General features: G+C 37.0%; 1 protein-coding gene and 1 pseudogene across 3 annotated transcripts in view; one reads left to right on the top strand and one right to left on the bottom strand.

The window, feature by feature from the left end:
* Positions 1-17,650, top strand: part of MMP26 (matrix metallopeptidase 26) — a 287,646-nt gene that overhangs the window by 153,326 nt on the left and 116,670 nt on the right. The window lies entirely within an intron of this gene.
* Positions 1,508-5,543, bottom strand: OR51H1 (olfactory receptor family 51 subfamily H member 1; annotated as a pseudogene). Its single transcript, NR_171273.1, has 2 exons — positions 5,505-5,543; positions 1,508-2,506 (listed from the first exon to the last, which is right to left on the bottom strand). The product of NR_171273.1 is annotated as an olfactory receptor family 51 subfamily H member 1 (transcript).

Consider the following 17,650-nt stretch of genomic DNA (forward strand, 5'->3'; position numbering starts at 1 on the left):
GTCAATATCATACTGAATGGGCAAAAACTGGAAGCATTCCCTTTGAAAACTGGCACAAGACAGGGATGCCCTCTCACACCACTCCTATTCAACATAGTATTGGAAGTTCTGGCCAGGGCAATCAAGCAGGAGAAAGAAATAAAAGGTATTCAATTAGGAAAAGAGGAAATCAAATTGTCCCTGTTTGCAGATGACATGATTGCATATTTAGAAAACCCCATCGTCTCAGCCCAAAATCTCCTTAAGCTGATAAGCAGCTTCAGCAAAGTCTCAGGATACAAAATCAATGTGCAAAAATCACAAGCATTCCTATACACCAATAATAGACAGAGAGCCAAATCATGAGTGAATTCCCATTCACAACTGCTTCAAAGAGAATAAAATACCTAGGAATCCAACTTACAAGGGATGTGAAGGACCTCTTCAAGGAGAACTACAAACCACTGCTCAACAAAATAAAAGAGGACACAAACAAATGGAAGAACATTCCATGCTCATGGATGGGAAGAATTAATATCATAAAAATGGCCATACTGCCCAAAGTAATTTATAGATTCAATGCCATCCCCATCAAGCTACCAATGGCTTTCTTCACAAAATTGGAAAAAACTACTTTAAAGTTCATATGGAACCAAAAAAGAGCCCGCATTGCCAAGATAATCCTAAGCCAAAAAACAAAGCTGGAGGCATCATGCTACCTGACTTCAAGCTATACTACAAGGCTACAGTAACCAAAACAGCATGGTACTGGTACCAAAACAGAGATCTAGACCAACGGAACAGAACAGAGCCCTCAGAATTAATACCACACATCTATAACCATCTGATCTTTGACAAACCTGACAAAAACAAGAAATGGGGAAAAGATTCCCTATTTAATAAATGGAGCTGGGAAAACTGGCTAGCCATATGTAGAAAGCTGAAACTGGATCCCCTCCTTACACCTTATGCAAAAATTAATTCAAGATGGATTAAAGACTTAAATATTAGAACTAAAACCATAAAAACCCTAGAATAAAACCTAGGCAATTCCATTCAGGACATAGGCGTGGGCAAAGACTTCATAACTAAAACACCAAAAGCAATGGCAACAAAAGCCAAAATGGACAAATGGGATCTAATTAAACTAAAGAGCTTCTGCACAGCAAAATGATAACCAAGGGTGAAATATAACTAAATATTTTATGAATAAACATACATTAGTGTTATCTGGATAAATGTGATAATTTGTTCTCACTGATGCTCATCTCCCGTGTCATAGAAAAGTGTGAAGCTACTTAATAAATTAGATTTTGTGATACCATATTTCAAAATACACACATTCCAAAATATAGTATATACAGAACAATAATGACCTGTTATGTATCTTCACCCACAAGCCTTACCCACTCCTGCATTTCCCCAGATGTGCAAAATTTGATGCACCATAACTGTGGAAAATTAAATAATTAATTCTTCCAGTGGATACTTACTCTGCTTCTTACACATGATTCCATTCTACTAGACCCTATTTTTTTTGCCTCTGGAACACTTGAAAGATCATTCTTCAAATTTGCTTGGTCTTCACACTGTAGACAATGGGGTTTAGCACAGGCGGGAGCAGTAGGTATATATCAGCCATGACCATGTGCACTACTGGTGATAAATGCTCCCAAAATCTGTGGATCATGGAGGCAGCACCCATAAAAGGAACATAGAAGAGGAGCACGGTAGACATGTGAGAGAGGCATGTGCTGAGGGTTTTCAGCCTTTCACCTCTGGAGACAATGCCCAGCACAGTCTTCAGGGTGAGTACATAAGACAGTAGAGTGAGGAGAACATCGAGCCCCAGTGTGAAGATGACGACGATGAGGCCGTAGAGGCTGTTGATGCGGGTGCTGGCACAAGCTAGCCGCATCATGTTTTGGTGAAGACAGTATGAATGAGACAAGACATTGGAATGGCAGAAGGGTAGGCACTTTATAAGGAAGGGCACAGGGAATACCACACAGACTGCCCGGGTGAGGACAGCTATTCCAGTCTTTCGAATAACATCGTGAGTGAGGATGGAAACATAGTGTAATGGGTTTCGGATGGCCACAAATCTGTCAAAGGCCATGGACACTAGGACTCCTGATTCTACTATTCCAAATACATGGATGAAGAACATCTGCATGATGCATGCATCAAAAACAATCTGAGGGGCATTAAACCAGTAGATGCTGAGCATGGAGGGCAAGGTGGACATGGAGAGACTAACGTCAGTGAGAGCCAAGATAGAAAGGAAGTAATACGTGGGCTCATGGAGACTTGGCTCCACCTTGATGACAGCTAGGATGGTACCATTTCCCAGGAGTGTGAGTGTGTAGAGAAATCCCAGGGGAAAGGCCAACCATGGGTTCTTGTCTGGCGTTCCTGGGATACCTGTCAGAATGAAGTTACGGTGGTTGGCCTGTGATGCATTCAAGTTCGTCATGTTGTTCTCACCATCGGGTGGGGCTGGACTCCTCCACTTGGCTCACAGCTCCTAAATTGAATATATATTCTCATATGGACAGAACAATGGCTTTATGAATGCATAGTAGAATAGCAGAGGAAAGAATAAAGTTAAAAAACATTTAGATGATATTTGTAACACTGTGTCTTTTTCCTTCCTACACAGTCACATGTGATTACCTCCCTTCTCTTGGAATAAATTTCTTTATTTGAAAAATGGGAACAAGAGTAAACATCCAGTGTTTAGACAGTAAAAAATTTTGATATCTCCTTTGATATCTCCTCATATAGTTTTCAAGTTTTAGCAGAAAAGAAGTAGACATAACCAAGATCTTAATAACATAGAGCATATTGCTAAATAATTTTTTAAAACCCCATTAAAACCTCACAATACCATCACCAGACACCCACAACTACATACAATCCCACTGTCATCACAACCTACATCCACATAAATCCATGTGTATAAGGGTATTATATATATATATATATCATATATACTTCCATATATATCATATATACTTCCATATGTATATACATATACATATAGATACACACAGTTTCCAAGTATATACATATAGAAGTATATATGTATTTAGAAGTATATACATATAGATACATACAGTTTCCAAGTATATACATATAGAAGTATATATCTATACAGAAGTTTATACATATAGATACATATACATGCAGATACATACAGTTTCCAAGTATATACATATATGCTTCTATAAATAGAAGTATATACAATATATATTACATATATGTGTATATACGATAGGATAGGTACTCTATATATATACATACGCATAAATGTATTAGGTTGGTGCAAAAGTAATTGCAGTTTTTGCCTTTTTAAAATCTAATATGTTCATATGTGTGTGTGTATATATATGTATATATGTATATATATATAGAGAGAGGGAATGTATCCTGGATATCTGTTGTAAGGATAATTTTAATGAATTACATATGCAAATGACACATTATTGGATGAAATTATTCAAATTAATATTTAATCTTCAGAAATTTCAACAGTTTATAATTTTCCATAGTCTTATTTTAAGGTAGGTAGAAGAAGATAAAAGTTATTGGCTCATAAACAACCACACATAAAGTATAATATAATACTTAGCCCAGTTCCTTCAGGCTCCCTAACTGATCTTTCTGTACCCATGAGTGCCGCCTTCTAATACATTCTTCATTTGGCAGTTAGAATAGACTTTTTTAAAACAAATATAAATCTCATTTATTCATCTCAAGCAAAACTCCTTTAAGGGTTCCCAATGTACTTAGAAGAAAGCTCTAAATCCTTATCTTAGCCTTCAACGTAAAGCAAGATTCAACCCCTACCTACCTCTGCAGCACCAACTCACACCATTTACTCTCCCCTTCAGTCTCTTTAATCCAGCCAAATTTGCCGTCTTTAAGTTCCTGGGTCCCAGTGAGATACTTCCTGATGTAGAATTTCTACATGCATTATATCCAGATATTTATGTTTTTCTTCACCCCTAGTGAAGCTCTCCTTTACCTAAGCAAAGCCTAGCTATCCTTCCCAATTATGCCGATTCCAAATATCCATAGTAGCTTAAGGTTTCCACATATGCTGTTTTCACATTTGTGGGCTCTTCTTTCTTTCCAGTGAGTATAGCTAAACATTGCGTACGTATTTGTTTAATGTCCATCTCTCCTACTAGAAGTTAAAACTTCCTGATGTAAAGGACTATTTTATGGTTCATCACCTCATTGAGCATATGTAAGGCATTTATTAATTTTTCCCTATTAGTGCAATGAAGACATAAAACAATGAATGGGTGAATATGGATGATTGAATGTCAATCTTTCAGGAGAAGTCTTAGAATCCCTCAAACTCTGTTCTGATCTTCTGCAGATGAATTAAAAATCTTCAACAAAGAGAAAAATTTATTTTTCTAAGAGGCCAGAGACAAAAGCTTAAATTGGGAGTCTGTGAGAGGTCCTATGGTGTCTTTGTTCTCACCTAGGTACTTGTGAGAAAAGAGAAAAACATCTCAAGAACTGGTCTGGGAGCTCTGAGGTTGGGGTGAGATCAGGCATGCAAGAACAAGTAGTTTCCCTACCTTTTCTGCCTCCTGTTTCTCTGCTATAGTATAAGGATTTTCTGTTAGAAAAATATGACTGCTAATAAGTTATTTTACAGATTTGAGTATCTTAGACACAGAAGAATTTTTGAAAGGTAGTGTAGTCCACTCACACTTGTTGTGTTGTATCTTTCTAACAAAATTTGGGCCCCTCCCTCCCAGAAATGACAATGGTCAGATCTAAACAAAGCACTTTGTGATGCCTGCCTAACCTTCTGCCTGCACTCTGAGGAGGGGTTTTGTTTTTCTTTAAATGTCAAGTGAGAGCCTTCACTTGTTTGGGCCTGCTGTTCTGTATCCCCAGCAATTCTTGTGGCTTTCAGGTGGAAATGACCAGCTGGTTCATCCCTACTGGGGGTTTTTCTTGGGACCTACTTGAAAAATCTTTAACATTCCTTAAGTTCTGAGAACCTGCTGAAGCCCTGTTCTTCCATGCAAATAGTTGATTCTTGTTTACCCCTGCTGTTTTACTGTTTTTGACTCTGATTTTCATTACCTGAATCAGTGTTCTACTGTCATCTTCTTTTTAATTTTTCATTCTTATCTCCATTCTTCATCTTCCTTCTTTTAATCTTCTTTAATTTTCAGACCCTTCCTTTCTCTATCTCCCAATGAAATTCTTATGCATTCTTCCATTCCATCTTTATTTTATGCCTAGCCTTGCACTACCTCCTCCCCATAGTATATGTCTTCTTCTTTTACTCCTAATAACAAAACCTGCATTTTACTTTCTCTTTCCATCTTTGCTTTCTACCACCACATGACACTCTATACACTATTCTCATCTGTCCTTATAACATTTCTCTGTAGAATTTCATCAGGATTTAATAAAAAATGCCCTAAGTTATCTTACACATAGCTTGCTATACAGAGGACATGGAAAAAATCTTTTAAGATATTTATTACCTTCATCAACCTGGTGCTATGGTTCAGAATTAATTTGGCTTCTTTCCTTTCCTGAGACTAGCATGTAGAGCCTTTATAAAGACTGCTCAAACCACTGGTGTTGTCTGGTGTCATCATGATTCTCCAAGGATTTCACAACACCTCTGAAAGAACTCCCATGAACGGTGTTATGTAGTGCCACTTGAGCTATCCCTTCCTAATTTCCCTAAGGATTCTAAAAATTTCCTTTATCTGTCAGACTGTCTTCTATTATGTCCAACACTTATGCAAAACTTTTCTTCATTTTAATTTTATTTGCATAGTCTTAGGTGTGAACTCACATACGTGCACACAAATGCATGTGTATGCACGCACACACACTAATTTGAATCATGTTTAATCACTAAGTAAGACTTACAATTCCAGCCCAATTTCAGTTCAGTTCAGTGACTCCAAAGCCAGTCTCAGTCTCAGTGATGACAGTGTTGCAATTTGACATGAAACAGAGCTGGAGTCTACTGTTGTTTGGAACGGATAGAATGATTGTCTGGACTCCGCCCATCAGGAACATATAAAAAAAAGATCTTTGAATTAGCTGAACTTCTTTGGTTTTCTGAATTGTTATTCCAATACCTCATGTATAATTTCTTGCATTTGATTTAATGTATTTCTCTGTAAGGATGTTTTGCATTAATGAGGTAATTCTTAAAAATACAGGAACAGCTGGTTACTCGAGCCTGTGCCTTTGTGTGGTCAGGCCTTAAACTGTTCACAGACCCTTTCTATCACATATTTATGCCCTTTTGATCTCATTTATTTTCCATCACAAGCATATTCACATAATCACAGCAGAAAACAAAAGTCAGATATAAACAATTATTGTGGTGATGCTTTAGTTTAGGCATGATTGACATCATATGGCCGAAGGTTATTCATTTATTTTTAATTTCTAAACCCATTTCTTTCCCACTGTGTATTACAACCTAAAAGAGACAATGCATGCTATAAACATTAAAAGCTAGGGCTTTATAATTTGTGCCAATATATTTTTAATAAGAAATTGTGAATACTTCTGTCTGAAATACTGTTGGGGATAGAACTAAAAACACACAAAATGCTTGATGCAACCCCCCTGAGTGTTAAACTGGTGACTTGAACTCCCCTGAAGATATCAGGCCTTGACTCCTCCATGTCTACAGAAACTGATGCCACCACTAGAATCAATTTCAGAAAGACTCCTATATTATCCCAGTAATTTCCTATTATCGGGAGCTTAATCCATCAAAAGTCTTCCTATCCATATCTAAAATGGTTAAATATGGTAAAAAGAATAGAGTTCGTGAGTCTTATATACCTTGTTTTAATTCACAGTTTTAATTTTTTCAGCTTTTTGGACTTAGGGAAAGTTATTTAACCACTCATTCATTCAGCATTCCTTGTTAGCTATTATTAATTGAGTTCTACTGGTGAGCTCCAGCTATTCCCCCTCCTTCCCATCAGCATTTATACAATCAAATAGGCCTAGTGGAAGTCACATAACCATTTTGACTATTCTCATTTTAAATTTCTTTATTAATAAAATTATAAATTAATTGCCAAAGGCCTCACATATTCTTTAATTGCTTCCAGATTATCACACTTAATTTTTTCCTCTGCTTGATTATTTCTACTAGCATCAGAGGTCTGGTTTTCTTTTACATTAGGAAAAAAGGTGTATTGCCAGTGTTTGTCTAATTTCTTTGCTTAATTTTAATGCAAAACACTCTAAAGCATGAAAAATAATTATTAGGAAGAGAAATTTCTTCTGAAGTAGAACGAATGAATCCTCTTTGCTCAAAAAGGGGGAAGATATGAACCAAAAAAACTATTTAAAAAATTAACACTGTGAAAACTAACTAAAGCAGGCAACATGTTGAGAAACATTCATTCTTGAAAACCTTTACAACTTCAGGGAAAAATACCACTCTCCCACCATTGCCAAATTCTTCTTCTTCCTCCTCCTCCTCCTCCTCCTTCTTCTTATTTTTGTTCTTCTTCGCAGAGGAGTAGCAGGAGTAGGAGTAGTAGTTGTAGTACCAGTAGTTTTATCAGGCTGGTATTTGTTGACAAACCAGCAGTTGTGCTGCCAGACAATGCAGACTCGACTTCAAGTGGAAAGAAAAAAGCAAAGCTTGGTCAACTAAGACTGGAAAACTCAGTAGGAAATAAAGAAGCGCCATCCACAGTTTTAGTAGCCTGAGTTTGCAAGCAGGAGTCATCAGGACATTTTACAGGGAGAACCTGGAAATTATTGTTACAGAAGGGTTCTCCATGCATCTATGGCTTTATGATAAATTATTCAAACATGTGAGAGAAACTCAAGAGAGCTTTCTGGCATGAGAAAACAAACAGAGACTTGACAACTGGTTGAATATTAAATGTATGCTACACACACCACTCAAATCAATCAGTGAAAATGTTTCTGACTCAAGGGATTTAACAGCTATTTCTGCCTCAATATTGGCATACCACCAAGATGTGTATACTCATGGGCGATTCCTAGGAAGCCAGGCTAAAAAAGTGGAATACAAATAAAATGATCTGAAAGTAATCAGTGGTTATACTTAGTGTAAGAATGTGAAATATAAGTGATCTGAAATGATCAGTGGCAACACTTAGTGCAAGAGATTTATTTTGAGAAGATAAATTTCAGTTTAAATTCATACAAGTTACTAAAAATAAACAAAAGAAAATTTAAAAACACAGCAAGTCTCTTAAAAGCAATTAAGAATCTAAGGTTTCTATTATATCCATGATACCTTGTTTATAACAAAAACCTATGAGACTTTTAAGGAAACAGGAAAACAAAAGAAAATGAGAAAACATTTAATGCTCATGGATAGGAAGAATCAATATCATGAAAATGGTCATACTGTCCAAAGCAATTTATAGATTCAATGCCATTCCTATTAAAGTAGTATTGGCATTCTTCACAGAATTATAAAAAACTATTTTAAAATTCATATGGAACCAAAAAAGAGCCTGAATAGCCAAGGCAATCTTAAGCAAAAAGAGCAAAATTGGAGGCATTACGCCACCTGACTTCAAACTATATTACAAGGCTACAGTAACCAAAACAGCATGGTACAGGTACAAGAACAGAAATATAGACCAATGGGAAAGAACAGAAAACCCAGAAAGAAGATTACACACCTACAACCATCTGATCTTTGACAAACCTGACAAAAATAAGCAATGGGGAAATGATTCCCTATTTAATAAATGGTGCTGGGGGAACTGGCAGGCCATAGGCAGAAAACTGAAACTGGACCCCTTCCTTACACCATACACAAAAATCAACTCAAGATGGACTAAACACTTAAATGTAAAGCCCCAAATTTAAAAATCCCAGAAGAAAACCTAGACAATACCATTCAGGTCATAGGCATGAGGAACGATTTCATGACAAAGATGCCAAAAACAATTGGAACAAAACCAAAAACTGACCAATGGGAAATAATTAAACTAAAGAGCTTCTGCACAGCAAAAGAAACTATCAACAGAGAAAATAGACAACATACAGAAAAGGAGAAAACTTTTACAATCTATCCATCTGACAAAGGTCTAATATCAAGTATCTAGAAGGAACTTAAACAAATTTACAAGAAAAAAACAAACAACCCCATTAAAAAGTGGGCAAAGGACATGAACAGACATGTCTCAAAAGAAGACGTACATGTGACCAACAAACATATGACAAAAAGCTCAACATCACTGATCATTAGGGAACTACAAAACCACAATGAGATGCTGTCCTTTTTTTTTTTTTTTTTTTTTTTGATGGAGTCTCTCTCTGTTGCCCAGGCTGGAGTGCAGTGATGCAATCTGGGCTCACTGCAACCTCCACCTCCCAGGTTCAAGCAATTCTCCTGCCTCAGCCTCCTGAGTAGCTGGGATTACAGGCATGCACCATCACGTCTGGCTAATTTTTGTATTTTTAGTAGAGATGGGGTTTCACCATGTTGGCTAAGCTGGTCTCAAATTCCTGACCTCATGATCTGCCCACCTTGATCTCCCAAAGTGCTGTGATTACAGATGTGAGCCACCATGTGCAGCTGAGATGCTGTCTTACACTAGTCAGAATGGCTATTACTAAAAAGTCAAAAAACAACAGATGCTGGCAAGGTTCTGAAGAAAAAGGAACACTTTTACACTCTTAGTAGGAGTATAAATTAGTTCAACCATTGTGGAAGAAGTTATGGCATTTCCTCAAAGACCTAGAGGCAGAAATACCATTTGACCGAGAAATCCCATTACTGGGTATATACCTAAAAGAATAAAAATTGTTCTATTGTAAAGGCACATGCATGTGTGTGTTAATTGCAGCACTAGTCACAATAGCAAAGACATGAAGTCAACCTAAATACCTATTACTGATAGACTGGATAAAGAAAATGTGGTATAGATATACCATGTAATACTATGGAGCCATAAAAAGGAATGAAATCATGTCCTTTCCAAGGACATGGATGGAGCTGGAGGACATTATCCTCAGCAAACTATCCCAGAAACAAAAGAAAACAAATACCACTTGTTCTTACCTATAAGTGGGAGCTGAATGATGAGAACACATGGACACATGGGGGGAACAACACACACTCAGGTGTGCTGGAGGGTATTCAGTTAGGAAAAGTGGAACTCAAATTGTCCCTGTTTGCAGATGACATGATTGTACCTTTAGAAAACCCCATCGTCTCAGCTCAAAATCTCCTTAAGCTGAGAAGCGACTTCAGCAAAGTCTCAGGATACAAAATCAATGTGCAAAAATCACAAGCATTCCTATACACCAATAACAGACAAACAGAGAGCCAAATCATGAGTTAACTCACATTCACAACTGCTTCAAAGAGAATAAAATACCTAGGAATCCAACTTACAAGGGATGTGAAAGACCTCTTCAAGAGAACTACAAACCACTGCTCAAGGAAATAAAAGAGGATACAAACAAATGGAAGAACATTCCATGCTCTTTGATAGGAAGAATCGATATCACGAAAATGGCCACACTGCCCAACGTAATTTACAGATTCAATGCCATCTCCATAAAGCTACCAATGACTTTCTTCACAGAATTGGAAAAAACTACTTTAAAGTTCATATGGAACCAAAAAAGAGCCCACATTGCCAAGATAATACTAAGCCAAAAGAACAAAGCTGGAGGCATCACGCTACCTGACTTCAAACTATATTAGAAGGCTACAGTAACCAGAAGAGCATGGTGCTGGTACCAAAACAGAGATACAGACCAATGGAACAGAACAGAGCCCTCAGAAATAATACCACACATCTACAACCATCTGATCTTTGACAAACCTGACAAAAACAAGAAGTGGGGAAAGGATTCCCTATTTAATAAATGGAGCTGGGAAAACTGGCTAGCCATATGTAGAAAGCTGAAACTGGATCCTTCCTTACACCTTATACAAAAATTAATTCAAGATGGATTAAAGACTTAAATGTTAGACCTAAAACCATAAAAATCCTACAAGAAAACCTAGGCAATACCATTCAGGATATAGGCATGGGCAAGGACATCATGTCTAAAACACCAAAAGCAATGGCAACAAAAGCCAAAATGGACAAATGGGATCTAATTAAACTAAAGAGCTTCTGCACAGCAAAAGAAACTACCATCAGACTGAACAGGCAACCTACAGAATGGGAGAAAATTTTTACAATCTACCCATCTGACAAAGGGCTAATATCCAGAATCTACAAAGAACTTAAACAAATTTACAAGAAAAAATAAAACAGCCCCATCAAAAAGTGGGCGAAGGATATGAACAGACACTTCTCAAAAGAAGATGTTTATGCAGCCAACAGACACATGGAAAAATGCTCATCATCACTGGCCATCAGAGAAATGCAAATCAAAACCACAGTGAGATGCCATCTCACACCAGTTAGAATGGCGATCATGAAAAAGTCAGGAAACAACAGGTGCTGGAGAGGATGTGGAGAAATAGGAACACTTTTACACTGTTGGTGGGACTGTAAACTGGTTCAACCACTGTGGAAGACAGTGTGGCAATTCCTCATGGATCTAGAACTAGAAATACCATTTGACCCAGCAATCCCATTACTGGGTATATACCCAAAGGATTATAAATCATGCTGCTATAAAGACACATGCACACCTATGTTTATTGCAGCACTATTCACAATAGCAAAGACTTGGAACCAACCCAAATGTCCATCAATGATAGACTAGATTAAGAAAATGTGGCACATATATATACACCAGGGAATACTATGCAGCCATAAAAAATGATGAGTTCATGTCCTTTGTAGTGACATGGTTGAAGCTGGAAACCATCATTGTGAGAAAACTATCACAAGGACAGAAAACCAAACACCACATGTTCTCACTGATAGGTGGGAACTGAACAATGAGAACACTTGGACACAGGTTGGGGAACATCACACACTGGGGCCTGTTGTGGGATGGGGGGATTGGGGAGGGATAGCATTAGGAGATATACCTAATGTAAATGACAAGTTAATGGGTGCAGCACACTGACATGGCACATGTATACATATGTAACAAACCTGCTCGTTGTGCACTTGTACCCTGGAACTTAAAGTATGATAATAAAAAAAGAAATAAAGAACACTGAAAATGATAGATATTGAGTAATAGAAAAGACTGCTTATGTAAATAATGTATTATCTTTAAAATATGTTTTTAAAACATGTTGTTTAAATAAATAATGACACTCAATTATATGGTCTATACCATGTAGGTAGAATATGTATTAAAATAATTTCATAAAGGATAAAAGAAAATGGGGCTACAGTGTGGAAAAGTTGAAATATTTTACTGTGATTTAGACAATATTAATGTGAAGTAGAGAGTGATAAGGTGAAGATGGATTTTATAATTCTTAGAATAATTACTAAGACAAATAACTGAAAATATAGCTAATAATGTGTTAATAGAAAAATCAAAATGGCACACTGAATCACTGAATAGTACCGTGGTGATGGCTTAGATATGAAGAAGAGAGGGAGAAAAGACCTGAATTTTAGTTTGGGTAACTGGGTGAATTGTGGTGTGGTTAGTGATTTACTGAAATGAACCTTAAGCAGATGAAAAGAAAACGTTTTATTTTTGTTTTCATTTTACAGTATTTCCCATGTTAAATTTCAGTTTCCTATTTGTATTACAGTGGAGTTATCAAGTAGGAAGCTGATCTGGAGATCAAGGCAGTATTGTAGCCTGAAGATATACACTTGTAGTTAATCAGTATGTAGATGATATTTAAAGCAGTGGTATTTGATGATATCGGTAAGTGAGAGAGTGGAGTTAAAGTAGAGGAAAAAAGATCAAATAAAAGATACACTGACATTTAGTGCTCTAGGAAGAAGACATATAATCAAAGAATAATAAAGAGTATAAATTAAAGTAGGAGGAAACATCAAGCAAACATGATTTGAGAGAAACCAACAAAGGAAAATAATTCAGCATTGCAGCAATATTCTACTATATTGAATCCTGAAGAACAAACAGGAGAGTAAGAGGACACATTTTTGCTAAGTTTAGCAATAAGCAGATTATTGGTGACATCTGCACATACTGTTTCAGTGGTGTGAAAAAGAACATTCACTGAAGTGAATTGAGGAGACAATGGGAAGTATCGACAGGGATTGTAGACCGCAATGTTGAGAGGCTTTGCTGTGAAACAGAAAAGAGAATGGGACAATAACACAATGGCGTGTGAAACAAGGGTAAATTTTTCTTTCAGCTTTTTCTTTTTAGACAGAGAATTATTAAAATTAAGCACTAGGGTTTAATCGTATTTCAATATAGTTAGTGATGCACGTTCATATAGGACTGAGAATAATTCTGCGTTTGGATGGGTTGCTACCATAGATCTGTATTAGGCAAAGCCGGGTCCTCTGGGAATAAGACAAAGTAGACTAGCATGCTCAGAAGCCTGGGTCTGTGTAGCCTTTGGTCCTGGGGGCATCTCCAGGAAGTCACATGCTCAAGTCTCCATAGAATCACTCCAGGGGAAATTCTGGGCAAGGGTGCTGTTGGTTTTAAATCTCCGTGCTGCTGTGGTTGACGCATCAGAAAAGACTCTTGTCTCCTAGACCATACTTTGGGTGAGTTGGGGAAAAATCTGAGGCCTGAGAAGTGCTTTCTTTGAGGATCTTGTCACAGAACGGCAAAGACTGCAGTATGGACAGTTCTTAGAAAAATGTAAAGGTCAGTAATGAGTGGTAGAGGTGGAGGAGATTGCGTGTTGAGCCCAGTTCACCCTTTTACCTGTAATTTGAATTTAATGGCAGAAATTGCCCCGTGACTAAATGTTGATCTTCTCCTTTAGAACCAAACAGAACTTCAAAGCACAATGATCACAGAACCTATATTTAAGCTTTAGTTTTGGGATCTGGTACAAGTTAACTTCTCTGACCCTTGTTTTTCTAGTGCATGCAATAGCAGTAATAATAGTGCTTTTCCACTAAGGTTTTTGTATCTTTAAATGAGATAGGACATGTAAATGGCTAAGAACAGAGCCTGGAACATGAACAAGCACTCAATAAATATTAGATTGTTTATTATTAAAGGACTAAAATATTTTTAAAATGTCTGCCCATTATTCCTTTTATTGTCTATCTAAGATAACACACAAGGATATTGCTTGTGGTTTTTACATTGCTCGTGTTTTTTAAAACCAATAAAGAGTCTAGAATGATCACAATGCTCAGCAAGCATTACTTTTTCATTTCCTTCTCCTTTTCATTAAAATAGAACTAACACTTCTAACTGTAGATGTGGGAATTAAGGGGCAAGGGGAGTATGTGATTCTACCAAAAACTAGTCAGTAAAACAAGAACTTTATAGATCATTGTCCCCCTCCCCCACTCACCCCTGAGCCCCTTCTTCTGAGCCCCAGCTCAAGGTCAATAGCAGATAGTTTCTTATCCTAGTGAGACTAGTCTGTGGATCCCACAAGAAACAAGTCCAAAGGGCCAGCTTTTACTCAGCAGCTCAGATCCTTTAAGAGTATAGTATGCTCATGCCTGTTCCTCAGAGAGCAGCCTTTCTTTCCATCTTCTGCCTGGGTGGAAGAGTATGGAAGTGAAGTTCAATACTACATAGAAGGGAAGGACTCTCAATGCCACTCCTTCTCCACCTTGACCCCCACATATACTTCTGAAGCTACAGAAGCTCCTGTCCTATTGCTGTGAGGAAAGTTTAGGGTCAACTCTTTCCATGGTCTACCACTATTATTTAGATAGACAGAATTAAGCTAGCCAGTTGAAGAGACAAGCTGGACATACGGACCCACCTGTAAAGCATGCCTTCATTCAACTCCAGCTATACAGTACACTCATGTGTCTCATCTTGCTTTCCATGTGTTCTTTGCTAAAGGGTCTTGGAAGGAAAAATAAAAATGCTTCTTTTTGTCCTCTGATTACTCATGACACATCTGGTACTTAGTAGAAACTTCACAAATTTGAAGTCATTAATCAATAAATTAATTAAACATGATCAACTTTTCCTTGGTTCATGAGATCTTAAGGAATCAGGGGCCTCGTTTACTATCCTTGTCCCAAATTCTGGAAGGTCTGTGCTGGTCTCTTGGATTAAGGTGCTTAGATTGCCAGTGTAGTGTTTCTTTTGAGGCTGCTCATCCCTCATAATCAATTTTCTTATTCTTTACTTTTTCTTACTGATTTTTACTACATGTGAATTCTAGTAGCATATCGTCTCTTCATCTTTGGTTTATCTGAGACTTGCTTTCACTAAATCCTTTACAGTAAGCATTAATGATAAAGTGCAAAGTCATTGAGACAGATCCACCAAATCCACTGTCTTGAACCCTGCAACAGCCACTACTGGCAGGCCATTGGTATTAAATGTTGCAATAAACTGCCTGAGGGATAGAAAGATTTAGGTAATACAGAATTTGATCAAAATATATAAATAATATATATGAAAGTAGGTGCATAACTTTAGAATTACATAAATAGATTTCATGACAAATCTTTTGAGAGATAATTTTTATAGTCAAGCAAACATTACCAAGTTTTTAGATAATACATGGGCATTTATTATATCTGAACTTTATTGAGTCTTTATTATTTGCCTGGTGCTTATCTAAGTGCTCTATCAATATTCCAAATGCATACTCTTAACAACCCTATGGTAGGTACTATTATTTTTATTTTAAAGAAGCGAGGAATTAAGCGCAGTGATTATTAAGTAACTTGTTCAAGGTCATAGAGCTAAGATTCAAACCCCAGAGCCTTTATTTTTAAAGCGAATTTTCTTTTCAAATTTCCTAAACAGAGTCAAAGACAGAGAGATACAGGTAAAGAGAGACAGAGATATAGGTAAAGAGAGACACTTATTATATAAGTGAAAGACCCTCAATCCAATCAGACCCATTATTTTTCAAGAGTCAGCGAGGGTGTTGGTATCCTTTTAAGTCTGCAGTCTGCAGCTCCAATTGTTGAAGTTTCAAATAAAATTTTCTGCAGCGATGAAACTATTCTACAACAATTTTATCCAGTTCAGTAGCACTAGTCACACGTGGCTATTGAACATTTAAAATACGACTAGTACAAGTAAGGTGAAATTGTAATTTAATTTAAGAAATTTAAATTTAAATAAATGCATATGTCTAGGGGCTACCATATTGGACAGTACTGCACTAAACTACTGACTGACAAATTTGGAGTGACTTTTTTCCATCTTGTTCATTCCCAAGTATCCAGAGCTCTCTGTCTTTTGTGTGTAGCTCTGGATTTTGTCTAGTGGCTTTGCTCCTTTCTATGACCAAGGCTCCTATTTCATTTATTTAAAATAATTTCTTAAAGAAAGAGTTCTTAACCTGGGTCCATAGATGGTTTTCAAAAATATCTGAATTCACTTAATTTTTATGCAGAACTTTGCTTGTATATGTGTGTGTGGTGTGTTGGTGTGTGTGTGTGTGTGTGTGTGCATTCTTAACTGGGAGACCCTTTCTGAGATTCTCAGAAGGGTTATGATAAATACAAAGTTCAGAGCCACTATAGCACTACTTTCTTTTAGTCCTAAACCTTCTGTCAGCTGTGGCTAGACTGGCCTGAAAAGGTGATTAGCTCAGCTGCACATTTGGATAAATGTTCTTAAGATGACACCAAAAAATTGAAATGGAAGAGAATTGATTGTGTGGCACCAAGATTTTAATCTTGATCTTTATCATGCAAATAGTAGACATTAATGTCTGTGATTCCCCATAGATTTAACTACGCCTTACTTGGAGTTACAGTGAGAAATGTAGTTGCTGCTAACTCAAGATGACATTTATTAGAACAGCCACATAGAAGCGTGGAAGGAAAAGAATGGGTCTTCTCTATGGAGAAACAGGAAAAAAAGTCAAGATGAGTTTTAACACGCATGGCACTGACTTCAGTAACCTGAACAATGATTGAATCTGTCTTTTGGGAGATTCTCCATGGATGGCTTTAATCTGGCTGAGCCATATATTAGTTGTAAAACTCTTTGGAAGTACTGGAGATCATTCTGCTCTCTAATGAAGAGAAAAGTAAATCTCAAAATTCCTTTCTAGATGCAGCTTAGGACAGAGAAATCTAATTGCATGGAAGAACATACTGAAGAAAAAGGCCTGAATAAATGAAAATGACAATGGGAAGACTGGATATTTCTGAAAAGGGACTAAAGCAACTCTTCTGTGGCTCCTGGGTATCTGTTTTCTATTGCTGCCATAAGAAGTTACTACAAACTTAGTGGCTTAAAATAATATATATTTATTTTTAACAGTTCTTTAGATCAGAAGTCCAAATTGGGTCTCACTGGGCTAAAACCAAGATTTAAGGCATTCTTTTCTGCAATATTTTCTGGAGACTTAGGGGAAAATTCTGTTCACTTACCTTTTCCATCTTCTAAAGGCCACTAATATTCCTTGTCTCCTGGTTCCCTTCCTTCATCTTCAATGTCAATAATTCATGTCCAGTCCTGCTCAAGCTGCCATCTTTCTGGTTCTCTGCAGTGACAAAGGTTATTCATTTCTAAGTACTCCTGTGATTTGATTTGGCCTACCTGCACAATGCAGGATAAACTCTACATCTCAAGGTTCTTAACTTTAACTATATATGAAAATTCCCTTTTG

This window comes from Homo sapiens, chromosome 11 (genome assembly GCF_000001405.40).
Source record: "Homo sapiens chromosome 11, GRCh38.p14 Primary Assembly".
In the NCBI taxonomy this organism is placed as follows: Eukaryota; Metazoa; Chordata; class Mammalia; order Primates; family Hominidae; genus Homo; species Homo sapiens.